At 36.0% G+C, this 26,418-nt stretch overlaps 1 protein-coding gene across 3 annotated transcripts in view, besides 2 other annotated features; it reads left to right on the forward strand.

Moving 5' to 3' along the window:
- Nucleotides 1-26,418, forward strand: part of STIM2 (stromal interaction molecule 2) — a 164,541-nt gene that overhangs the window by 34,405 nt on the left and 103,718 nt on the right. For all 3 annotated transcript variants that reach the window (NM_001169118.2, NM_001169117.2, NM_020860.4), the window contains exon 2: nt 24,259-24,389. In NM_001169118.2, the coding sequence (NP_001162589.1) occupies nt 24,259-24,389 (131 nt within the window). The remainder of the gene's footprint in view (nt 1-24,258; nt 24,390-26,418) is intronic.
- Nucleotides 15,948-16,582: an enhancer, noted in NCBI's record as "OCT4-NANOG hESC enhancer chr4:26912815-26913449 (GRCh37/hg19 assembly coordinates)". NCBI's record gives its function as "activates a minimal SCP1, AML or CMV promoter by ChIP-STARR-seq in naive H9 embryonic stem cells {active_cell/tissue: H9 hESC(naive)}" and the evidence as "EXISTENCE:reporter gene assay evidence [ECO:0000049][PMID:30033119]".
- Nucleotides 17,582-17,876: a silencer, noted in NCBI's record as "tiled region #12765; K562 Repressive DNase matched - State 8:EnhW". NCBI's record gives its function as "represses a minimal TATA promoter and a strong SV40 promoter by Sharpr-MPRA in K562 cells {active_cell/tissue: K562}" and the evidence as "EXISTENCE:reporter gene assay evidence [ECO:0000049][PMID:27701403]".

The raw sequence follows: 26,418 nt of genomic DNA on the forward strand, positions 1-26,418 counted from the left end.
TAATTATTTCTATTTAAGTCTGTTTTAGTGGCTCTCATAAAATTTTATAGTTTTTCCCTAGAGGTCTTGCAGCTTGTTGTATTTATTCCTAGGTACTGTATTTATTCTTAGGTACTCTTTGATTCAAAACATAAACGTTTTTATTTTCAAAATGGTTTTGCCAGTTCCCAATGTTTAAAATAACAAATACCATCATGGATCCATACGTTTTGAGTTTTTTTGCATGTTAGGAAGCATGAACTTGCAAATATTTTTCTCCTTTTCCTAACTTTTTTTAGTATGGCTAGAGAAAGGCAAGATTTTGACCTTAAGTTGCGATGAGAAATGGAAGAAACTTTTTTTTATGTTTTTGAATTTGTCCATAACCCAGTTTCATCAGTTTTAAGTCTCCATCTTGCACTGTCATTTATGAGAGCAAACTAGAGTTGCAGTCCCAAACCATGGAACTTCTTTGTGTAGTTTGTTCTCATGAAACATTCAGCCAGAACAGGAGGGCCTAAGTTTCAGACAAATTTTAAATTAGTTTGGAAAAGTAAGTGGATCTATTTTTGGCTTATCTACTACCTCAAAGTCATTCTCTTTGTAAGGGTGTTTGAAGAGTAATAATCAAACTCAGTGTGTTAGTTTTCTACTGCTGCATAATGAATTACCATACACTCAGCACCTCAAAACATCATATGCTTGTTATTTAAGAGTTTCTGTTGGTGATGAGTCTGGGCATGGTTTACCTCAATTCTCAGATTCTCACAAGGCTGAAATCGAGGTGTTGGTTGGGCCATGTCCTCATCTGGAGCATGGAGTCCTCTTCCAGGCTTATTCTGGTTGTTGAGGTAATTGAGTTCCTTGTTGTAGTACTGAGGTCTTCAATTGCTTGATTTGACCACTTGTTGCTCCTAGGAATAGCCTGTTGTTGCCTGATACATGACTCCACAACATGGTAGTTTGCGCCTTCCAGGCCAGCAGGTGAATCTCTTTCACACTTTTCATCTCTTTGACTGCTTTTAAGAGCTCATTAGATAAGGTCATGCCCACCTGGGATAAATTTCCTTTTGAAGTGAAGTCAATTGATTAGGGCTCTGAATTACATTTGTAAAATCCTTTCTGCCATGTAATGTATCATAATCACAGTAGTGATAATCCCATCATATTCACAAGTCCTAAATTATACAGGGTGTATCAACAGGGGACAGGAATCTTGGGAACAATTTAGAATTCTGTCTTCCACACTCTCATCCATACATGAAAATTTCGTATCTTCATATGAGATGATGCCTTGACTCTTCTTGCCTGAATTTTTTTAAAAAACGCTTTTATTTTGAACTAAGTGTATTCTCACAAGCAGTTTTATGTGTACATTGTAATATTGAATCTTCCAATTTTAAAATTGGAAGTTTTCCCCAGATGTGACATCTTACATAAATATAGTACATTATCAAAACCGGGGAAAACTGATAGTAGCATAATACAATTAAGTAAACTACAGACTTCAACTTCACCAGTTTTTGCAGGCATTGGTATTTCTTTGTGTATAATTCTTTGTACAGATTCATATAACCATCACATTTCAAGACACAGGACTGCTCTGTCATCACAAAGGAATTCCCTCATGCTTCCCCTTCATAGTCAAACCCTATTCCTAAATCCTGTTTTCCACTTTTATACTTTTGCCATATCGAGAATGTTGTGTTAATGGAATCCTAGATTATGAAATGTTCTGATGGTGGCCCTTTTCATTCAGCATAATACTCTTAAGATCCATTCAAATTGTTGAGAGTATCAATTGTTTGTTCCTTTTTATTGATGAGTAAATATTTCATTGTATGGAGGTACCTCAGTTTGTTTAACCATTCACCCATGGAAGTCCATTTGAGTTGTTTTCACTATGGGCCTATTTACAAATAAAATGCTTATAAACATTCATGTCCAGGAGTGATGTTTAACTTTTTAAGAAACTACCAGACTGATCTCCAGAGTGGCAGTATCATTTTACATTCCCAACAGCAAAGTATGAGAGAGAGAGTTTCTCTGCATCCTCACCAGCATTTGGTACTTTCTGTATGTTTTACTTTAGTTGTAATAGGCCTATGGTGCTATCTCCTTGGGGTCATAATTTGAATTTCCCTAATGGCCAGCAGTGTTAAACATCTTTTCATATTTTATCTGTCATCTCTGTATCCTCTTTTTTCATGTCTTTCACTGCTTTTCTAATTGGAATTTGATTGGATTTTACTGTGGACATTTTCAGGTAAATACAAAAGACACAGTAGTGTAATAAATTTCTATTATCAAGCTTCAAGAGTTATGACGTTTTTGCTCTTTTGTTTCTTTTGAGTATTTCAAAGAAAATCAGATATATAAATATCATGACATTTCACTTGTAAATACCTCACTATGCATTGCTGTCCTTTATTAGGACATTTGAAAACTGTAACCACAAGGATAGCATCATATTTAATTTAAAAATAATTCCTTAATATCATCTAATACTTAGTCCATATTTACATTTTCTCTCTCAAATATGTATTTTATTTATTTTTTGAGACAGGGTCTTGCTCTGTTACTTAGGCTGGAGTGCAGAGGTGTGAACATGGCTCACTGTAGCCTTGACCTTCTGGGGTCAAGGGATCTTTCTGCCTCAGCCTCCCAAATAGCTGGGACCACAGGTGCACCACCATGCCTGACTAATTTTTATAGAAATTTTTGTAGAGACGAGGTTTGCCTGTGTTGCCCAAGCTGGTCTTGAATTCTTGGGCTAAAGCTGTCTGCCCACCTTGGCTTCCCAAAGTGCTGGGATTATAGACATTAGTCACTGTGCTTGGTCCCAAACATGTATTTTAAAAAATGGTTGATGGAAATGAGAATTCACATAAGATTGATTGCATTTAGTTATGTTCACTTTTCAGACAGCACTTCTTTTTTCCTCAGGCAATTGATTTGTCTTCTGGACTAATTTGGATTTGGCTGATTCCTTCCTTATTTTGTCATTTAACTTGTTCTATCTCATTTCCTCTAAACTGATAGTAAGATTTAGCAGCTTGGTTAGATTTGGTCTTAAGTTTTTAGACAAGAATACCTCGTAGAAGTACTGTGTACTTCTTGTTATATTACATCAGGAGTCACATCATGTTTGGTTTTCCCACTTTTTGAATTACTAGGTTTGATCAGTGGGTTCAGGTATTGTCAACTCCATTCCTCCATTTAAAAAGTTTTCATTTATCCTTCATGTAGTGGCTGTGGTTTTCCATTAGTCTTTCATCTAATCATCACTATTGATGATTGTTGCCTAGATCCAATATATTGGTGTTGCAAAATAGTGATTTTCTGATTTATTCTGCATTTAGTAGCTGGACTGTCAAGAACTTTGATCAGTATTTTGGTTTTCATGAAATACAGTTGATAAAAGGCAGGAGAAATGCTCATTTTTTTCACCCTTATGTATCAATTTTTAGATTAATAAGTTGATATCCTTGCAATCTACAGAAGACACCAATGGGATATTTTTCCTTTCATTTCTTTATGTATCATTTTGAATTTGTAAATTTTTAAAAAGGCATTTTATGCATTTTGATGACATTAAAAAATTCATTTTCTGTCTGCAGGCATTTAGAAATACAATTAATTTTTACACATTTAAAAAAATTTAGCAATCTTTCTAAATTCTTGTTAATTTTATTTCTAGATTATTCCTCTGCAAATGACAGTTTTTTTTTTAATCCCAAGTCTTTATACCTTGGATTTCTTTTTTTTCCTTACTGTAGAATAGAACCTTAGTAAATGTTTGAATAGAAATGAAGATAATACAACCCTTCTCTTGTTCCTCACTAATGGCTGTATTTTGCTATAGATTATTTATCAAGATTAAGGTATTCCCTTATATTTCTATACATTTTATCAAGCATTAATGTTTAATTTTATGGGCTACTGTTTTACGTCTATTCCCATGATTACATGAGTTTTCTACCTTTAACCTGTTAATGTGAATTATGTTAAATTATTTTCTAATGTTAAACCAATCTTCTGTCCCTGGAATGATCTCAACTGTCATGATGTATTATTATCCTTTTTGTGGTTAAATTTAATTTACAAATATTTTTAGAGCTTTACATTTATGTTCATGAATGAGGCTGGCTTTATAATTTTCGTGTCTAGTACTGTTCTGTTGGTTTTGGTATAAGTGTTTCACTACCTTTTTAAGTAAGTTTCTTCTTTCAAATCTCTGGAAGAGTTTGAGAGTGGAATTCTTCTTTCCTTGATTTTTGTTAGAACTCACTAATGAAACAATCAAGGTTTAGAAGTTTCTTTGTGGGAGAAATTCCTAGATAGTTTAGTTTTTAGTTCTTTGAAGAATATAGGGTAAAAGTATCTTTCTTTGATGACAGAGCTGATAATTATAAGTGAAAAATTCAGTCACTGATGAATACTTTTTCCTGAGTAGTTTGAATTGATCTGTTTTGTGTCTATTTTTTGAGGTACATGCTACATACATTTTGTCTGTAAACAACTATTTAGCATATTGAATAAAATTACATTTTAAAAATAGACTTTGTACTATATATCACTTTAATACAATTGTTTAGATTTGTGTTTTAAGCTTTTCACACTTGTAAAATTTCTGAATAATGAATTTTTAAGGAATCTTTGAAGGGCTTTTGAGCTAGGTTCTACTTCTGGCTCTGCCAATTACTGTCTTGAGTGTGTCTCTTATTTTCTGGGCCTCACATTTTGCATTTGTAAAACAAGTATCTATCTATTTCATATAGTTTTCATGAGGATAAACCGAGAAGTCTTTTATTAACCATAAACGGAAAGTTTTGAAATTAGGGAATGTAGGCAAAATGTTCAAAGAGAGGGAGTAGAAGGAGCCTTTGAAATCTGTGTGAGTCCCTCCAGTTTATAGGAAATAGAAGCCACAGAAGCTAGAGAAACGCCCAAGGTTATCTCTAAGTAGCTAGTGTACAGAACTGACCTTGCAACCCAGTCTTCCTGCTTTCCAAAGCAGTGGGCTTTTTCAGTTTTGCCTTTCTTCAAATGAAATACTAGGTAATTGAGAGAAGCTTTGACTTTAGCAGGTACATAGTTGAGTGTATTATCCCCAAGAGTTAAGTAGAAAAGTGTACATGACATTAGGGGGAAAGAGGAATTTTAAGACTTTAGTTTCTTAAGTTACTAATAATTAAAACTGCTGTCAAAGTAATTATTGAATTTTTTTCCCGCTCAGAATCTAGACAAAGAGAGCCTTGTTACACTTTTCAGGGATTAAAATTAATCTAATACAGTAAGAAGTAAAGTCTTGTGTGGTTACTGCATGGCTTTGTACTAGAAATTCAGTTGAAATTTTACTTTAAAAACTATTACTTCAGTATAATTTTAGTAAAATCTTAATTTATAATTGGCATGAAACTTCCAAGCTAATTGTTAGAAATAGTTTCTTGGAATCCAGTTTTTCTACTTAATTCCTTATTTTCTCCAGGTGTACTCTGGAAAATTAATATTGTCTTTAAATTCTTGAAGTCGATACTACAAATGGAAGGGTTTATCATTATCTCAGTATTGAAGGCTCAATATATTGCACAGTGTTTGTAGTGTCTTATCCCCTGGAAGGGGACTTCATTCCTCTCTGTCACTGCTGTAGCTTACTGAAGCCAAGAGCAGGAAAAGGAAATCCCAGACTGCAGACCCCTCTTCCCTCCAGCATTGTCTTTTCTCCCCACACCCTTCAAAAGGCACAGCACATATTTCAGTTGCTGATCCTTGTCCCTTGGTCTGTGTCTGATCTCATTTAAGAATTTCCTCTTTCCTTCCCTTCTTGCGTTTCCTCTCCAGGGTGTTTGCTGCCTGAGAGATGGGGAGACACCTAGGACATGCTACAAGGAGGGGCCCAAGTTTGCAGAGGCAGTTTTAAAATCTCAAGCGTGCTTGTCCGTGTAGCTTTGTAGAAAATATGTTTTGCACATTTTCAGTAAGTTTTAAAAATTTTTACTTAGGTAATTTTCAACACACTTGTAGTTTTTTTTGGAGGTAACACCATCAAATGCTAAATTTGTCAAGTGTTTTGAATAAAAAATTTCTAGGAACTGAGGTTATGTTCTTTCTGTTTAAATACTAATTTCTATGAGGATTCAATAAACATATTAAATTCATTATACTTTTATTGACTTAAAGCTGAAGGGAAGATTTAATGCTGTTTTAGCTGTTTTATAGGCTTGTGACTTTTTTCCTTGGAAAATCAGAACATTTTCTTTTAAAAACATTTATTACATATCCTCATTGCAAAGGTATAACTTGCGTCTGCCACAGAGAAGAGTTTGTCCTTTAAATAAATTTTCCTTTTTGGGCCTTATAGATGTTGTTAGCGATATTAAATCTGTGGTTTTCTAGAACTATTTATTATTCTTTCTTTATTTTTAAAATTTATTCACAGGAACCCATGAGGGTGAATATTTTATGCTAATTTTGTGGTGGAGGAAGCTAAGATCCAAAGATGTTAAGAAGTTTGCCGAAGATTACATCTTTAATAAATAGTGGAATTGCGATTTGAGCTTAGGTCTGACTCCAGACTTGGTGGTCTTTGTGAAATTCTTCTTATCCCTTTGAGAGACTGATTATTTGGAGGAGGATATGGGTTGATAGGTAAACAGTTACTTGCAACTATAATAGTTATGCATAAAATGTTATTAAGAGTGCAGAGTAGGAAGCATCTAACTGTTAGGAAGGTCAGGATGGCTTTATAGAGTGAATCAATGGCGAAGTGATTCTTCAGGGATCACAGTGTGCCTGTATTTCATGCTGTGGAGGTTGGTCTTCATTCTTTTTGGGGGAATGGGAGGCACTGAAGGGTTTCAACAGAAGTGGTGATGTGACCAGATTCATATTCTGAAGAGATATGGTAGCTGTAAAGGGGAATACAATGTAGCGTGGTGGTGCTAGAGATAGGGAGACCATTACAGGAACACTTCGGGAGAAGGGATGAGGTTGTTTCTTAGGGAAGTGGTAGAGAGTGGGAGAGGAGGGAACTGGCTTTGAACTTTTAATAATTAGAAAATATGCAGATGTCGTTCTCACTTATTTTCTCACGCTGTCAGAAATAGTAAGAGCCAAATGTTTGTGTTTAGAAGATTGTCCTAGTCTTGTGATTACCTTCAAATTACTGATCTGCAAAGAACTTTAATCCTAAGTGTTAAGAGTATAGCTACATTTAGGAGAGAAATCACGTCTTTCTTGACAAAGCCGTGTCTCCAGATGGAAGCCAAATTTATGCCTGGATTATGGTAATAATGGAATAAGACTTTTCAGTATAGGACCTACACAGTAACAGCAGTTCAGGAAGCAAAGCTAATATTACTTTGAAATGATCAGCACTGTTTTATGAATGACTTCTTTCATTTTAGATCATTCAAAATCATTTCTTAGAAATTTCTGATTTGAGTTCTGCAGGCAGGAAGAATGCGGTAATTGTCAGTCTTTTGACAGTGTGTCCTCCAAGGCCCATTTCTATCCATTTGATGCCACACTGCATCTTGTCCTTTCCTCATGTCCTGAGCCGGAGGGGAACTATTGCAGAGTTCCAGTCTACTATGTGGTAGGTGGAGTTTTCTTGGATTGTCCGTAAGAACACTCTTCCTGTTGTTTATGGGGCCAAAAATAAAAGTTTGTGATAGTATGTGTTTAGTTTTTAGTATCTAATCATTCATAAATTTAGTTTAACTACCTAGATTTGTCTTTCTCTAATATTACAAAATACAAAGGGAAATGGTAGCCGTCTTTGTGCTTGATAATGAATAAGGTCTTTTCCTGCTCGGTGACATCTCTGTATTATGGAGTCTGCATACTGTAGTGGAACTAGTGAGAGTTCTACGAAATAGTAAAATGTTCCTTGTAAAAAAGTTTTTTTTGGCCTTACCTCATTAACACAGCCTTAGTTTAGACTTTTATTGCTTGGGATAATAAAATAACTTGGCCCCCTACCTCTAGTCTGTTGCCCTTAAATCCATACTCTGCAACTGTATGAATATTTGTTACAAAATACAAATCTGACATTGTCCAACATGTGTCTCCTTGCATCTCTTATTGCTAATGAGTTCTGTTAAATGCTTGGAGTTGTAACCAGAGAGGCTCCTTGGACATTTGATTTTCGTGAAGTCTCACTAGCTGAACGGTTTTGTTATACACACGTGCATACTTGTACTTGATTTTTGCAAAACATTTTAATGAACTAGTTATTTCTGTTTGCTTCAAGTACTCTTTTACTTATTTGCTTGTTTCTTAATGGCATTTATTGAAGTACCTGATACTGGTAAATGTTAATTGAGACAAGAGCATAAAATTATAAAAAGATAGAAAAGAGGATATATAACTTATAATAAATAAGAAAATGGCACAAATCTCTTGACAGCTGTCTTCATAATACTAAAGGCTAGCTCAGCTGAGGCCTGCAAAGAATACTAAGAATAATAAAAGACATTTTCAGATGTTAGGTTTGGAGAAAAAACAAAGAAGGCAGCAGGTTATTTCTGATCCTGTAATGATAATAGATGACAAAAAGTGTCAAATTCGATACCACCCATCTGATTCTTTTTTTTGTTAGGAAAATAATTGTTTAATTGAAAATGGTAGAGCCAAGTTATTGAGAGATAATTGGATGAGAAAGGAGCTAACTGTTCTCAGTGGCTAGGATTTTTTTTTAATCTTAGGGTCTAAAAACAACTTTTTTTTTATTATACTTTAAGTTTTAGGGTACATGTGCATAATGTGCAGGTTAGTTACGTATGTATACCTGTGCCATGCTGGTGTGCTGCACCCATTAACTCGTCATTTAGCATTAGGTATCTCTCCTAATGCTATCCCTCCCCCTCCCCCCACCCCACAACAGTCCCCAGAGTGTGATGTTCCCCTTCCTGTGTCCATGTGTTCTCATTAATAATTCTGTTTTCATGATCTCTGAGCAATCTTGGAGACTAGGAATGGCATGTACAGGCTGGCAGGTTTTTTGTTTGTTTCTTTGTTTTGTTTTTTAAACATTTTTTCAGGTATAATTGACAGACAATAAATGATTCATACTTAAAGTGTACAATTTGCTAAGTGTCAATATATGTATATACTCATGAAGCCATCACCATAGTCAGTATAATGAACATAATTATCATTCCCAAAAGTTTTCTCATGCCCTTTGTTAGAGGTGACTGAGAAGGAGCAGTCAGTAAGGAGAACAAGGCTATTGTGCTGTCTTGGAAATTAAATGAGGAAGAAAATGATCAGCTGTGGCAAATGCTTACTTATAGGCACGATAACATGAGAAATGAGATTGTCCATTGGATTTAGTAATGTTGAGGTTATAGGTGATCTTGACCAGGCCAGTTTTGGTGGAGTGGTGAGAGCAGAGGCCTGACTGGAGTGGATTTTAAGAGAGAAAGGGAGGAGAAAAATTAGAGACAGCCAGCGGGAATATTTTTAAGATTTTCTGCAAAGGGAAGAAAGAAATGGAGAAGTAGTGAAGTGGGGTTGAGAGTGTTTTGTCTTTTTTTTTTTTTTTTTAAAGGATGGGAGCAAAAGCCCAGCATGTTTATATGCCCGTGGCAACAATTCACTGTGAGAAAAATGTAAAGGATGAATTAGTTCCTGGAGTGATACCCTTGAGGGGCTAAGAGATTTAGTTTACAAGTGTAGGGATTGACATATAGAAACTTGGATAATTTATCTGTGTCAGTGGGCAGAGATACAGTTTGAAAGTGTAGACAGTGGATGGTGGTTGAGTGGGTTGTGGGAGTTTATGGAAGTTCTCTTCAAATAGCTTCATGAAAAATATTTTCTTTCAGTGAAGTATAGGAAGCAAAGTCTTCACTGTGAAAAAAGATAGGAAGGAGGCATTGGAGTTGAGGATCAAGAAGATACGAAATAGAATGGGAGAGTGAATAGACCAGAAAGTTATGGTATGTTTGGCTGGCAGCATTAAGGGTTCAGTTGCAGTCTGTGGTTATTAATTTAAAGCATCATGATTAGCCATATTGAGATAAAAAGTAGTTGACGAATTAGATTTAACCAGGTTATGGCTTTGCTAGCCAAGTATGATGAAATAAGAGAAGGGCAAGGAAGTCGAGGGTGTTTGTAGGTGGGTGATGATGAGTGGCCATGGGTTAAGCTGTGAAAGGAAGCAAGAGAGGACATCAAAGGGTGAGGGACAGTAATCTATGCAAGAGGTGTTGGTGGCTTAGTAAAGGGCAGAGTCTGGTTAATATTTTGAAGATAGAGCCAGATTTCCTGAAGTTGGATGGATGTGTGTGGGAAGAATAATCAAGAAAGAGTGTTTGACCTGAGCAGTTTTAGGAATGGAGTTGCTGTCAACTGATGTGCTTAGTCCTTTCTTACAGTCTTGGTCGTGTTTTGTTGATCCTTATAAAAAAGAGAAAATTTTGTAGCATAATTAACATAGAAAAATATAAATCGGCTAAATCCATGGCTATGTATTAAATTTCTATGCTGATTTATTTATTCAGTAAATATTTACTGAGTGCTATGTGCCAAGTGGTGTTCTGGGTAGGAATATAGCACTGAACAAAACACATACATTAAGAACTTGCATTACTTTTAGTTCACACAGAGAAAATAGCATTTTGGAAAATGTATGAGATAAAAGGGATTACTGTATCTTAAATTATATTGTTTTTGTATTTAACTGTTAATAACTGGTTTAGTTGGCTGTTTATGTGTGTGTGTATATGTATATATATACATAAAATATATAGACCTAAAAATACATATAAGGCCAGTTTTATATCTTTAATCCAGAAATTTATGAAGTTATTTTTTGATCATTATTTTTTAAAAATTAAGATATTATAGAATACTGTGCAGCCATAAAAAGAACAAGATGATGTCATTTGCAGCAACATGGATAGAGCTGGAGGCTGTTACCCTAAGCGAACTAATACAGACACAGAAAACCAAATACTGTATGTTCTCACTTATAAGCGGGAGCTAAACATTGAGTGCATATGGACACAAAGAAGGGAACAACAGACACTGGGTCAACTTGAGGGTGGAGGGTGGGAGGGAGGTGAAGATTGAAAAACCACCTATTGGGTGCTTTGCCTATTACCTGGGTATTATGCTAATCTGTACACCAAACCCCTGTGACACACAGTTTACCTGTGTAACAAACCTGCTGATGTATCCATGAACCCAAAATACAAGTTTGTTTGTTTTTTTTTTTTTTTTTTGAAAAGCTATTGCAGAGTTTCAGCAATAGGTGATATAATGATTGGACTAGTGCGATCATAATGAAGATGCAGTGTCATCTCAAAAAAAATTTAAGATATTAATAGTATATTCTAAAAAATATAAAATGTTAGTAAATTTGAGGGCTAATGAATTGGAATTTATTTTACAGTTTGTGGACCACATGAGAATATCTGTTTTTCTTTCCTAGCATGTGATACCTCATTTGGACTGGAAATGATATTCTGTAGATTGATTGCCTGAGCAGTTTCCAAAGTTTAAAGGCACACTGAATGTAAGAAATTATGCTATTATTAAACACATGCAGTGAAACCCCATCTCTACTAAAAATACAAAAAAATTAGATAGGCATGGTGGTGGGCACCTGTAGTCCCAGCTACTCGGGAGACTGAGGCAGGAGAATGGCGTGAATCTGGGAGGTGGAGCTTGCAGTGAGCCGAGATTGCATCACTGCACTCCAGCCTGGGCGATAGAGTGAGACTCCGTCTCAAAAAAAAAAAAAAAAAGAATATGCAGAAAACATTGCATGTGCTTTGGTGTAATTGTTTTGGGTAATTAATGAGTCTCAGGCATTTGGGATAGTGGCTGAGTTGTTGGAGTAAGTGCGGGTATCTTCCTAAGGAGAATTTTTTGAATAGGAAGGGCAATATTAACTTATATGCATATATTTTGATGTATTAATTAAATTATTTCATTATTTTTAGTGTTATTTTCAGTAAAACTTGGTGTTGAGAGAGTGAGTCCCTAAATCATTATCATGGAAGAGTTGAAGTAAACACTTAGAACTATATAGTTCTTAGAACATATAGTTAGAACTATATGGTATAAAAACATTATGTGAAAAAGGATAGGTAGAAAGGACCATAGTGAAGAATGAAGTTAGTGATCTTAGAGTTAGCTGTCACTTCTCTCTTAAACTATTAAACAGATGCTTTGCCTGATTCAGCTTTTACGTGAAGGCTTTTTGCAGGCTGTTAACAAGTACTGAAGTCTCCATTTTCTCCCTCTTGCTTTTGGATGTCTTAAAGAGGGTATTAAAAAAAACTTGGAAAATAGTTTCCTTAACATTGAGAGACACAATTACATTTTCTGCTTTGATGTTTTAATTATCAATAAAGATTTCAGTACACTTTGCAACTGTGCATTACTTTAGAGCCTTGTGTGTTGGAAGCTAAATTATCGTACTTTAATATGGAAGGGTTTTGTAAGACTTCCTCCTCCCCAAACAAAACAAAACAAAACAAAACAGAGGCTTTCTATTTTTGGAGGTTTATTCATGAGAAAAGGGATTGGTTGGCTGTTTCTTTCCATGTTGGATAAGCAGTTCCCAACTTAAAAATACTTAATTTACAAATATCATTGAACATCAAGTCCCTGGTCTGGCCTCATTTCCCTTGCTATGTGGCTGGCACAGCGCACATATGTCTGATTCTCCCCTCTTCCCTTATGATTGTAGCATAGCTTTGTAAATCTGTTAGCTTGGAACAGTACACGGAAGGGGAATTACCCATTTTTGTTGCTGAGACCAAATTGGTGGGACTCTGCTTCTCAGTTGGAAATGTTTCCACTTAGAAACATTAAGAACTTTCTAAGATAATTGTTCAAAAAAAATCCAGTAAACACATAGCAACACTTACGTCTCAAATGAACATTTCCTTTTTGAAAGTAGTGCTTTGGAGGTTATACTTCTGGGAAGTGATAGCTTTAATGAACCTGCTTTTAGAGTTCCTGTTTTGGAATTTACTTTCAGAATATTCTCTTTTGGGTATTTTGAAAACTAGAAAACCTTTTTCTTGACAGGTTGTGAGATATAGGGAAAGATAGAGTTCTTTGGATTTGGACAGACGTGGGCTGAATTTCAACAAAACAGTTAACCAGGTGTTTAACCTTGGGCAAATTGCTTTTCCTATGAGAATCTTGGTTTAGTCATCATGAGAAGTGGTAGTATGAGACTAACACAGCATTTGAATTAGATAATCAAGTAAAGCACCCAGTCATTTTGTTTGTTTGTTTGTTTGCTTGTTTTGAGACAGAGTCTTGCTGTCGCCCAGCCTGGAGTGCAATGGTGCAATCTCAGCTCACTGCAACCTCCGCCTCTTGGGTTCAAGCGATTCTCCAGCCTCAGGCTCCCAAGTAGCTGGGATTACAGGCACATGCTACCACGCCCGGCTCATTTTTGTATTTTTAGTAGAGACAGAGTTTCACCATGTTGGCCAGGCTGGTGTCGAACTTCTGACCTCAAGTGATCCACCCGTCTCGGCCTCCCAAGGTGTTGGGATTAGAGGCGTGAGCCACTGCACCCGGCCACAGTCATTGTTTTATATAATACAGTAAATGCTCTATTTCCACTTTATCCTCTCTCTTTGTATTTTAGACTATATTTGGTTTTGGAATCAGTCAAAAGATTTAGAACAAAGTCTAATTTTCATTCTAAATGAAAGACTGATATTTTTGGGCCAGGCATGTTGGCTCATGCCTGTAATCCCAGCACTTTGGGAAATTGAGGCATGAGGATTGCTTGAGCCCAGGCATTTGAGGCTGCAGTGAGCTATGATTGCGCCACTGTGCTTCAGCCTTGGCAACAGAGTGAGACCTTGTCTCTTAGGAAAATAAAAGATATTTTTGATAACTGTTAAGGTAACAGTAATATAACAAAAAGCTAGACTTAGATTTCAGGAGACTTAGCATTGAATTCCGACTGTGTCGTTTATTAACTAATTACTGTAGGCACCTTACTCCTCTCTGTCCATGATAGTATTTAGTTATCTATTGAGTTACAAATATGTGCCATACTCTGTTAGGTGTTTTATACATTGATATATCATGTAATTCTAACAATAACCTTGCAAGGGTGCTATTATTTCCATTCTACAGGTGAGGAAATTAAGGCAAAGTAGTTATAACTTTCCCGAAGTTATATAGTAAGTGGCAGGGTGAGAATGAATTGAAAGTTCTTTTTTTCTCTATGGAGTATTCAACCTTTCTCATCTGTAAAATTGTGAAACTTACTTTATTTTGCATGATTGTTGTTAAAAGTCCTTGTACTGAGAGAGAAGTAAAACAACGTATTGCACTTGGATCAATGCCTGGAACTAACAACAATATTCTCTTTATTTCTCTAGTGTTGATATAGTTAAGATAGTATTAATCATCTTTGTTCACTGTAGCTTGTGTTTGGTTGTAGCTTTTATTGTGGTAAAATATACGTAACATAAAATTGATCATTTTAACCGTTTTTGAGCATACAATTCAGTAGCACTGCGTACATCATAATGTTGTGGTTGTAGCTTGGAATTACCATATTCTGCCTTCCAAAACAACACAAAATAAATAGAAATAAGCAAAGCTCTTCCGCTGCTCTGTGCTCATAACGTGGTTAATGAAAATGTTAGTAGCATGAGCTAGGGTCTCAAAAGGGCCAGTGCTGCTTGGAATCCTGGTTCTTAATTATTTTGGTCACTTTGGTTTCACTTGTATAAGTCAGTGAGATTTTTATCATCTTTGGAGAGAAGTTGAAAACTGCTTCTGTGATTTTATATATGTGTGTACCCAAATCTTTTGCTTAAGACATTTTTCATTAAATTTTCAATAGCATCCCTGGAAACCAGGAGTCAAGAAATTTGCATGCACCTGTTAACTTTCTTTTTCTGCACCTAGTCAACTATTTTCTAAGATAATGATAGATGCTACAATGTTATATACAGAAACATCATTGTTTTCTAGGAATTTACAGTATAAAACAGTAGAGAAAATTAGAAAGCCGGCTGGTCACGGTGGCTCACGCTTATAATTCCAGCGCTTTGGGAGGCCAAGGCAGGTGGATCACTTGTGGTCAGGAGTTCAAGACCAGGCTAGCCAAACATGGTGAAATCCCGTCTTTACTAAAAAAAATAAAAATTATCTGAGCGTGTTGGCGAGCGCCTGTAATTCCAGTTACTTGGGAGGCTGTGGCAGGAGAATTGCCTGAACTCCGGAGGCAGAGGTTACAGTGAGCTGAGATCATGCCACTGCACTCCAGCCTGGGTGATGGAGTGAGACTGTCTCAAAAAAACAAAAAAACAAAAAACAAACAAAAAGCCAAACTAAAATAAAAAAATTAGATAGCTGTCAGTGAATATAGAGATAAATACAGCTGTATGAATACACCTACTCGCTTATTTAGATACACTGAAGGAGCATATTGGTTAACCATGAATATAAGTGTAGATACTTTTTGGATAGAGGAGTATGTTAGTAAATGAATTGCATATTAATAAGACAGTTGCTGAGGTAGAGGCATTACCTTCTGGTTCCCACCTATAGAGAGGCTCTGAGATCAGCAGGAATTTAAGTTGCTTGGTGGTGGTGTGGTGGGGTACAGGTGGGGAAATATGTAGGAGTGAAATAATCAGAATATGGTAACTTTTTAAATGTCTCTGGAAGGTGGGAAGGGACCTAAGGAATTGAGTTTGTATGATAGTCTGTTTAAAGCATTTGAGGTCGGGTGCAGTGGCTCACGCCTGTAATCCCAGCACTTTGAGAGGCTGAGGCGGGCAGATCACCTGAGGTCAGGAGTTCGAGACCAGCCTGGCCAACATGCTGAATCCCCATCTCTACTAAAAATACAAAAATGAGCCAGGCGTGGTGGTGGGCGCCTGTAGTCCCAGCTACTCAGGAGGCTGAGGCAGGAGAATCGCTTGAACCCAGGAGGTGTAGGTTGCAATGAGCTGGGATCATGCCACTGCACTCTAGCCTGGGCGACAGTGTGTCTCAAAAAATAAATAAATAAATAAATAAATAAAATGAAATGAAATAAAATAAAAAAAATGAAATAAAACATTTGAAAGGTATAGATGAAGTTAGCAATCATTTAGGGGAACTTTTAGCTAACAATCAGGGAAACTACTTTGTTTTTGCTAGGGTCCAGGTAAATTAGCAGGTACTTCTTATGCAAAGTGAGTGATTACAGAGATTCAGAGTTCTAAGAGGCAGTCATCAGTCAGAAGGAGTTTTCACCAAAGGTCCTGTATTTTCTGTTTAGAATAGTACTTAAGCCATAATTAGAGAACATCTGCAGTGGTTTCTCAGCCCTCTGTTGGTAAAGTCTGTCTCCTTTAATTGTTGAACTTTTGAAAAGTCTGAATAGATAATCAGAGATTATCTAGAGTCTTCTTCCTGCATTTTTATAGCATTCCTGGTATAGCATTTGGTATATCTAGTCCAGTTACAACTTTCCCTTTCTTATTTGCTGTTCTAGCATGTAATATATGCTCTCAATAAATATTAGTATTTTTTGAATGCCTATCATCATGTAACAGGTAACATGTATAAAAGGCTGAAACTCATTTTTCTCTAAAAAATATGCAGCAGCTTTTATTATTTATGCATTACTCTTTTTGGAGAAATAGCCATTAATCCTGTTATGTGCTAGGTGTTTGTAGTATGCTAGATACTGGAAATATAAGGGAATACTAGGAATATGAAAAAGACTTTGCCCTAGAGAGGGTATCAGAAGAGAAGGAAGACATTATTCACTTTCCTTTTGAGTTTGAATCAGGTCTTTGATATATTGAAAAATGACACCTGAAAATTTTCTCGAGAATTTACTCTGAAAATACTCACGTTGAATATTTGAAGTATTGAAGTATTTGATTCGGTAAATGCTTGAGCGATTAGTGGAAGTACTAAATACAAACAATACTTATTTAAAAAGTTCTCTCAGTGGTAGTAATGAAGAAAATCCTAATCATGAGATTCACTAAATAGTTGCCAGCGTGGTAAGCCAAGTTCTCGGCGGCATATGCTGTTAAACACTGTTAGTGGGCTGCAGTCCTTAGTTTGTGATTGAGTCACCTGGCTCCCCTTCTTAGTTGTTCTTTTCTGCATGAAATTTGCTGACTTAAATAATATTATAGGAGGGAACCTAGCTCTAAAGACTTCACTTACTTTTTTCAGCTTCATTTCTTTCTTAAGCTCTTAATTTCATAAGTTTCTGAACTGTATTCCCCACATATATCAATTGACTAGGATGACAAAGTATAGAATATGCCATATTTATTCCTCTAGTGAAGGCAAAGGGAATAGCATTTGATGCATTTTGTAATTCTGTGTTTGGTGTGGCTCAGCTAGATAGATGAAAATGTACCTTGTTTTACCTAGGATGACTTTTAGGCCTGAAATGCCAGTCATATTTGTCTGTTTTCTCTTAATATATTTAGTTCTCACTTCAATATGATCTTTTATTTCTGTCCCCACTATCATTTCTATAGTTTATATTCTATTACTTCTTGCCTAGACTGTTGTGATAGGCATTCTTTGGTAGCAAACATATGCTGTAGATTAAAAATGAAATGGACACATTCACCTTTGATTGCTACTTCACCTGTCTTTTGCTGGTGTTTCTTCTTTCCATTGGGGAGTACTGTTGGTATAGCAGAGGACAGTTCTTTGTTGTGTGGGAGTTGTCAGGCTTGTGCATTGCAGTTAACTCAGTATTCTTGCCCTCCACAACACCCCCGCCATTGACCGCCAGTAGCAGCTGAGAGAGGGTGAGTGAGCAGGGAGGCGGCCTTACCACTCTCAGTTGAGAACTAGCCTGCTAGCCAGTCTGTGCTTATTGTGGGTTCCAGAGCTCATCTTATTTCCTGTTTATGTTTATTCTTGTTTTCCCTTTTTCTACTCCCAATTACCAAAATCCAGTTTCACTTTCATAAGGTCACTGAAAATGCAATTGCTTACATGTAAAAGTCAGGCAAAGTATGTATTAGATTTGGTAACATACAATAATAATTTACATATAAGATGTATAACAGTAGTAATTATATATAGTAATATAGTATTATACTATGTATAGTAACTATACATAGTAATATTGTATAGTAATCAATAAAACAGACTTTATTTTCGACTTCATGGAGTTTTCACTCTATCACGAGAGTATGAGAGCCTTAAGCACTGTCTTAAATATTTTAAAGTTCCCCTTGGTTATTTTTGTATGGTATGTTGCATATTTTGTTCAATAAGTATTTAAACAATAATATATGACAGTGAATAGAATTTATACTTTAGGCCTGGGGAATACTGAATAGTTTTAAGCAGAAGAGTAATGTTATTAGATTTCTACTAACTACTTAGGTTTAAATTCAGTGTTAAAAGGTGAGTTTTGTTAATTTCTCCATCCTGCTTTTCTAATCAGCCAAATTATTTCTTGAAAAGCTTTTTTCTTTCAAACATTTTGGAAATCCAATTAGGTAAGTAATTTAGTAAACAACTATATTTATATTGAAAGTCCTGTTAGATAAGTAATTTAGTAAACAAATATATTTTGAGCACTTACTGTGTGCCAGATACTGGTTTAGGCACTGGGCAAAGAGGAATGATCAAAACAAAGCCTGTGATCTCACGGTTGCATTATGGCGGGAGAGTTAGTAAGCAAACGAATCAACTCATATACTGCCCTGTGATAAAGTGCTGTGAAGAAAAATTAAACAAGTAGAAAGAGTGAAGGAGAAGGCTATCTTACATAGGGAAATAAGACAGCCTCTGAGGAGGATCATTTAAGTTGGAATGAAAGGAGTTAACCAACCATGGATATATTTGGAAGAAAGAGCTTTGCCAATGGAGGAAACTGCAAGTTAGGGCTTTCAGTGAATAATTTATTAATGTTTTTTTCTCCTTGATTGTCACTTTAGGATAATCTGTAGATCCCTCCATGATCTGGCCTTCGCTTATACTTTTTCTGTTAATTATCTAATTAAGTGGGAATAATGCCTACTTTGTGGGCAAAGTGAAATGTGTAACACTTAATTTTTATATAAGTATATTTTATGCAATATAAATACAAGGATGCTCCATATTCATAGTTATTATCACCCTTTTGTTATATAATAATCATTAGCTTATGTTCTTGCCTATCCCTGTCTTCCTAGAGAGCACTTGCTCATCTTTCAAGAATCAGTGTAAATGTCACTTTCTCTTTGAAGCCTTTCTTGCTGTGCATGTAGACATGACTATTCCCTTAGTTTTGTCACCATTGTTTATTTGTATATCTGTCATTGTATCTGCCATCTTTATTTATTTGTTTTTACCTTTTGTGTACCCAGCTTCTAACCTAGACTCTGGCATTTAGATATTTGCTACATAAATGAATTGTATTTAGAAGCTAATTCATTTGGCTTCTAATATTTACATATACTTAAACCATTCAACAAATATGTCACTGTGGTAGATACTGAGAATAAAAAATTAATACAATGCATGTTCCCAATCAAGTTTAGGGTAAAGTTACGATACAATATAATATACTTAATATAATGGTTTGTTCAAGGGGAGTGTAAATTAAAGTGGAGATAGATTATCTAAAGGAAAAGTAAGGCAGGAAGTATAGATATGTATTCTAGATTGTGAATATCATTCCACAGGTGTCTGATGATCTCCTTCCACGGGGCACATTTATGCTTCTTGGTGCAGTCAGCTTCTCAGCCAGGTCCTGGCAATATCTGTGATAGCGGTACTTAATTCTCTGATGCTGGTGACACTGACCCATTTATGTTCGTTATACTGACACTTGAGCATAGATTTGGAGTTGTGAATACTTAGAATCCCAGTTGTCATTTCTAGGAGTGTGATCTTAAGCAAGTTACTCATGAGTCTTACTTCCTCATCTGGAAAATAGAGATATTATCTGCCCCATACAGGGTTGCAGGGAATAAATTATGAAGATAAAATAGTATTGGTTTCTAGAATGTAGTGGATAATATTTCTTCCTTTTTTATTTTTTATTTATATATATTTTTTGAGACAGAGTCTCACTCTGTTACCCAGGGTGGAGTGTAGTGGCATGATCTTGACTGACTGCAACCTTCGCCTCCCAAGGTCAAGCGATTCTCCTGTCTCAGCCTCCCAAGTAGCTGGGACTACAGGAGCATGCCACTATGCCCGGCTAATTTTTGTATTTTTCGTAGGGATAGGGTTTTGCCATGTTGTCCAGGCTGGTCACGGACTCCTGACCTCAGGTGATCCGCCTGCCTCAGCTTCCCAAAGTGCTGGGATTACAGGCGTTGAGCCACTGTGCCCAGCCTGTAGTAGATATTTCTTGGTGGGTGAAATAATTTTAATTCATTTTACTTTATTTCTGTAGAACCATACTGAGCATTTGGCTCTAATTACAGGAAAACAAGGTGGAATTTAATAATGGTGTTGATAGCTGACTTGGGTTAGGTCTCATTCTGTTGCAGCTGGTTTCTTTTCCCTCAGCGCAAAGTGCTGCTGTTAATCCAGAGAAAAGAATGCTTAGCATATAATACTCAAAAGCTGTATCACACTATGTTGCATTTAACACAAGGTGAGGGCACTGAGGGGAGGACATTTGTCTTAGTTGTTGCCTTGTGTGCCCAGCACCAAGCACAGAGCCTGACGTATTATAGGCACTGCATATCGTGTTTAAATTAGCGAGTGAATTCTGTTTAGATGAGGAAGATGTACTAGTATGGAGTACCTGATGTCCACTGGGGCATTTTGGGTAGCTAAAGAAAGTGTCTATAAAATATAAGCAAAGGAGAACAATATTGGTAGCAGTTGCCTTTCAAACCATTATAATTATAGGCACAGACCTTTTTTAGCAGGTTGTATATTTTAAAATAAGTATAGGCCAGCTAATTTGAGTTAAAATGATCACATGTGCTGAATTAACTAGAAGGTAAACAACTAAAAACGAAAAGAGACATTAGAACAGGTAATAGAGTTCAGAATTCACAGCTATTCTAAATTAGATTTGTAAAAGCCTTGAGTCTTACTTTAAAGGAAATAAAATTTCATGTGAAGAAATGGATCACTGTTGCCATAACTTCAACTCCTGTCTTTCCTCTGCTGCTCAAACTTGGCAAAACACCAAACCCTAGAGCAGTCTCATCATCTACCGTTTCTGTTCCTTGGAGGCATGGTCTGTTGAGTGCTGCCAGGCTGACTGTCAGCTGTGTCTCTCAGTCTTGTCACCATCCTATTCCACTGTCACCAGAGGGATCTGGTGAATTGCCATCATCCCATTCCATTGTCACCAGAGTTATCAGATTTTAAATGAATCTGATTGTGTTATTCCCCTCCTTGAAATCCATTAATAGCTTCTCAGTGTTTTTAGGATAAAAATCCAAATATCCTGGTATGAGAAACAGAGCTTTTAGAGATCTGGCCTTTTAGCAGTCTCTACCTGATCTTCTTTTTTCTGTATGTTGGTATCTTTGTACTACAGACATATTAAACCACTTGCATTTTTCTTAATGTTTTATGTTTTTTTTTTTATGTCACTGAACGTATGATGCTGCTTCTAGGCATGCTGTTCTCTCTTCTCAAGGTTGTCAGCTACAGATGATTTAAAATTCTTTAAGTTTACCTCTAGAAAACTTTTACCTAACATGATACATTGTAGGAGTCTACATGTCTTCCTTCTCACAAAACTGTGAGCTTTTTTGAGTATGGATACTCTCTTATCTCTTTAATTCCTAATGCCTGTCACTGCCTTGCACAGGATAGAAGCCTAGAAGTTTGTAATTTAGTTAATATATGAAGTAACAGAATTTATCAGAGGCTTAAAATATGTTCAGCTAAAATGGGTATTATGTGAGAAGTGGAGAAACATGGTCCCTGCCCTGTTCATAATCTTAGTTGTGTGGACAAAAATGACACATAAGCAATTAAAGCTTAATCGAGTACAGCATTAAGTGAGGACTTAGGTAGAATGATTAGAAAATGAAGATAAAATCGAAAATTTCAAATCCCTTGACATTTCATATCTGCTTTTCACTTTCCCCTTAAATGTTTACCACTACTAACATGCCTATACCGTTTACTTATTTATCTTGTTAGGTTCATAGTCCCCAGTAAAATATAAGTTTTATGAGGATTTTTGTCTGTTTTGTTCACCATGGTATTTCTGGTGCCTGACATTTGGTAGGTGCTCATTAGATAGTTGTTGAGTGGATTGAATGGAGTGCAGAGAAGGAAGTGATCACTAGGAAATAGTGTTTATGAAAGACTTCATGGAGAAGTATTAACATCTTGAAGTAGACTTGAGAGAGAGTATTTTATTAGATTAGCTAGTGTTTATGAAATACGCCTATTTAAATAAATAATTACCAATTTTATTTTCCTATGACTTTTTCAAGTCATGTTGCTCCTAATTTCTCTTAAAGCTTCCTGTGGTTATATGGTCCTCACTGTTGACTCCTCTTAGAGACTTTCACAACAAGGCCTATTTAACCAGAGTGAGAGATGCTGGCCCTTTCCTTATATACCAGTTGGAATGAACACCTTCACTTTGTTCTTTAGCAGATTAAACTATGTGTAAAAAATAGGTCTGCTGGAGGCAACTACGTATTATATACAGATCTTTACACTATATGTTGTTTTGGTACCTGAGCTCTTATCTTCTATTTTGCATCTTTTAAATAATTGCAAATAAATCCAAACTTACGGGCACATCAGGGTCTTGATTGTTCTGTGAATTAGGGATCATGATTGACCATTATGCCTCCGAGTTCTTGGATTTTAGCAAATCTTGACTGGCGTTCCAAATATTTGTATGTACACGTATTTATATATCACACAGAACTTATAATTGCATTTCCTACTTTTATAGTTTCCTTTCTTTTCTGATTACTTCCCTTCTAAGACTAAAGAAATTAAAATTAGATTTTGAATTAAAACTATTAAAAATGTTAAAACACCAAAATATTTTTTCAGCTGTAATTGGAACATGTTAGGTAATATCAGTTTGACTTTTTTTTTTTTTTTTTTAGAAAATAAAATTATCTGTGGGCCTCAAATATTGGCTTCTCTTCTCCCAGCTTTTTTTCTCCTAAGCACAGAATTAGATATTCTTAGGCCCTTATAGCTGCAATAGATCTTAGTAAGTATCTCTACTTGCTTTATTTTAGGGATGAGGCAACTAAGATGCAAGGACAAGTGATTTGTCCACAATTAACTAATGACAGCTAATTGATAGTAGGGCCAGATGATAGACTATCGATGAGATAACTAAGCTGTGGCTAACCTCTGTCTTATGCTAACCACTTTCAACTTTAAGGCCATACTATTTCTGGAAATATATGTGGTTCTGATGGCATTTTAAAGAAATGTTATTGTAGTGACTTGATAGAAGAGAAGTAAGTTCCTAGAATTTTGTCAGTCCGCCAGTCAGCCAGACTGGGTATAAGTGAAGCTGCGGCAGTACTTTCCCATTTTGGTATATAGGTTGTTAGCTAGTTATGTGCACAGGAAGTAATTTCCATCAGTCATGTTAAGCCATTGAAAAATGTTTCATGCTTTCTAACTTAGTTTTTGACAACCTGAATGTGAGGATTCACATATATTCCATAGGGAAAGGGTTGACCAGTAAATGTGTATTAAAGATAACATGAAGAACAAGATTTAAAAACATCTGGTTAGTCTTTTTCTTTTGTTTGTTGTTGTCATAGTTGAACCTAAGAACTTACGTATTTTGAAAAAAGCTATATGGGTAGACTCTTGGATTATCTTAAATAGAAAAATGGAAACAAAAGGGTCATGTGACTATTTTACATTTCCTTTCCCTTTTTTTGGTGATATTTTCTAGGACTCATTTTGATTAAACTGGATTGTGCAAAAATAGCACTTTGTATTCTGTGATTTTTTAGTGTTTTTTTTTTTTAATGGAAGGAGATCATTTGTTTTTTTGGTAGGGGGAATGATTAGTAAATCATGATTAGTAAATATTCAGGTTGGATAAGAAGAAATGGTTAAAGATGTAGAGATTTTAGATAACCTGAAGTTAGTACTGACATAACTCCTGGTTGTAGTTGCCTGATGTTAATTAAATTGGATTATTTCTTTTTAGTCAGTTGTGTTCATATATTATACTTTTGATGTGAAGAATATTCTGTTAGACGTTTTAAAGTCTCTTAGTTTAACTTAGTCTGAAGTTTAATTCTGTTGGTTTTCTTTTAAATTATACTCTCTAACTATAGCCTTTGTTTTGGTATGGCAAGTTAGTAATTGCCCTTTGTTCTCTTTCAGATCCCTGCATGTCACTGAGTCCACCATGCTTTACAGAAGAAGACAGATTTAGTCTGGAAGCTCTTCAAACAATACATAAACAAATGGATGATGACAAAGATGGTGGAATTGAAGTAGAGGAAAGTGATGAAGTAGGTGGAAAAATGTTTTCCTTGCTATTGTCTTAGAACAGAATGACTGCATTTCTGTTTCTGGTCTTCAATTTTCTCTTTCCTCATGTGGCTCATTGCCTTCATCTTCAACATCTTTAATTTTTCTTTTTACATGTTAATTTTACCCTTAATAAACATTTACATGGTTTTTCTGTTTTTCCCCCCATTTGGATATAAGTCTTCCCAGTTGTATAAAAATTTTCCATCTCATGTTCCTGTATTTCTCAAACATGTATCCTATTCTGACTGTATTTTATCTATTGTTGCTTTACAAACCACTCCAAATGTAGTGGTTTAAAATGACAACAGTTTATTATTTCTCCTGATTCTGTGGGATCACTGGCCCCAGCTGAGCAGTTTTTCTGTACCCTTAGATATGGGCCGAGGTCACTATGGAAGTTGCATTCTCTTGGGAGCTCTGTTGGGGCTGGAGTATCTAAGACAGCCTCTTATTCTGCATAATGTCTTTCTATGTTACCTCTCATCATTCAGGAGCCTAGCTCAAACTTTATTACAGCACGGCAGCTAGTGTTCCAAGAGGGTAAGTTCCCATGTGCAAGTGTTTATCATGCCTCTGCTTGCCAGTGGTTGCTAATTTATTGGCCAAGACAAGTCATTTGGCTAAGCTCAGAATCTGTGTGGAAGAAGATTCTACAAAGATATAGATAACCAGGAAATGTGATTCCTTGGAGACCACCAGCATGGTAATTTACTGTACCCACTGTCTTTAGTTTTTAAGCATTCCCATTTACCCTACCGGTCTGGTTTCTGTCTTAGTTTCTCCCTAAAAGTTGGCTTCTTTGAGTGTTGTCTCATTCTAACCAAATCCCCTGGTCATTTTTCAGGCCTCTTCAGTCCCTTTGTTGGATTTGTCACTGTTGAATTGCTTCTCTTTCAGATTATATTATAGTAAATTACATTATTTTCTACATTATTATCTCGTGATGTAACAGTGACAGTGTCTAGTAACATTGTTATCTAACGGAGACATTCTCTGAAGATCACTTCTTGGCTTGCTATACAAAACGTTTATTTGAGAATGCCCATCTGTTTTCAGATTGCCCTGATTCCTCTATCTCTAGGCCAGTCTAGATCCCTGACCTTTTGCTTTCTGCCTGATGTTTTTAGAGGGCTCTTACTGTTGCTTTAAATTTAGTATGTGTAAAACAAAATCTCAGTTTTGCTATTTTAAATCTCTTGTTGTTCAGTTGCACCTCTGGACCTATTTCTCGATTCTTCTTCTTCTAAAGTAGATGTTGGCAGACTTTTTCTGCAAAGGGCCAAGATATGGGTTGAAATGTGTTCTCTAAAAACATGTTGAAGTCCTAAACCCCAGCACCTCAGAATGTGACCTTATTTAGAAATAAGGTCATTGCGGATGTAGTTAAGATAAAGTCATACTGGAGTTGGGTGGGCCTGTAATTCAATATGACTAGTGTTCTGCTAAGAGAGGAGAACGCCATGTGGAGTCACAGAACAGGAGAGAAGATGACTCTGTGACAGTGGAGGCAGAGATTAGTTTTATATAACTGCAAATCAAGGAATGCTAAGGATTGCTGCCAATACCAGAAGCTAAGAGAAAGGCATGGAACAGATTCTCCCCTAGAGCCTTTGAGAGAGCATGATTCTGTGGACACATTGATTTTGAACTTCTTTCTAGCCTTCAGATCTGTAAGAGAATAAATTTCTATCGTGGTAAGCCATCCAATTTATGGTACTTTATTATGGCAGTACTATAATGAATGGAAACGAATACAGGCCAGTTGGCAAATTATTTAGCTTTAGTGGGCCATGCAGTTGCTGTTGTAACTATTCAACTCCGCCACTATAGTGTGAAGCGGCCATAGACAGTACAAGAACTAACGGGCATGGCTGTTTTCCAATAAAACTTTATTTGCAAAAACAAGCAGCCAGCCATATTTGGCCTGCATGCTGTAGTTTGCCAACCCCTGCTGTAAATTAAGCTCCTGTGTTCTTAAAATATGTTCCTTTTTCTTCCTTTCCCCAC

Source organism: Homo sapiens, chromosome 4, assembly GCF_000001405.40.
Source record: "Homo sapiens chromosome 4, GRCh38.p14 Primary Assembly".
Classification (NCBI taxonomy): domain Eukaryota; kingdom Metazoa; phylum Chordata; class Mammalia; order Primates; family Hominidae; genus Homo; species Homo sapiens.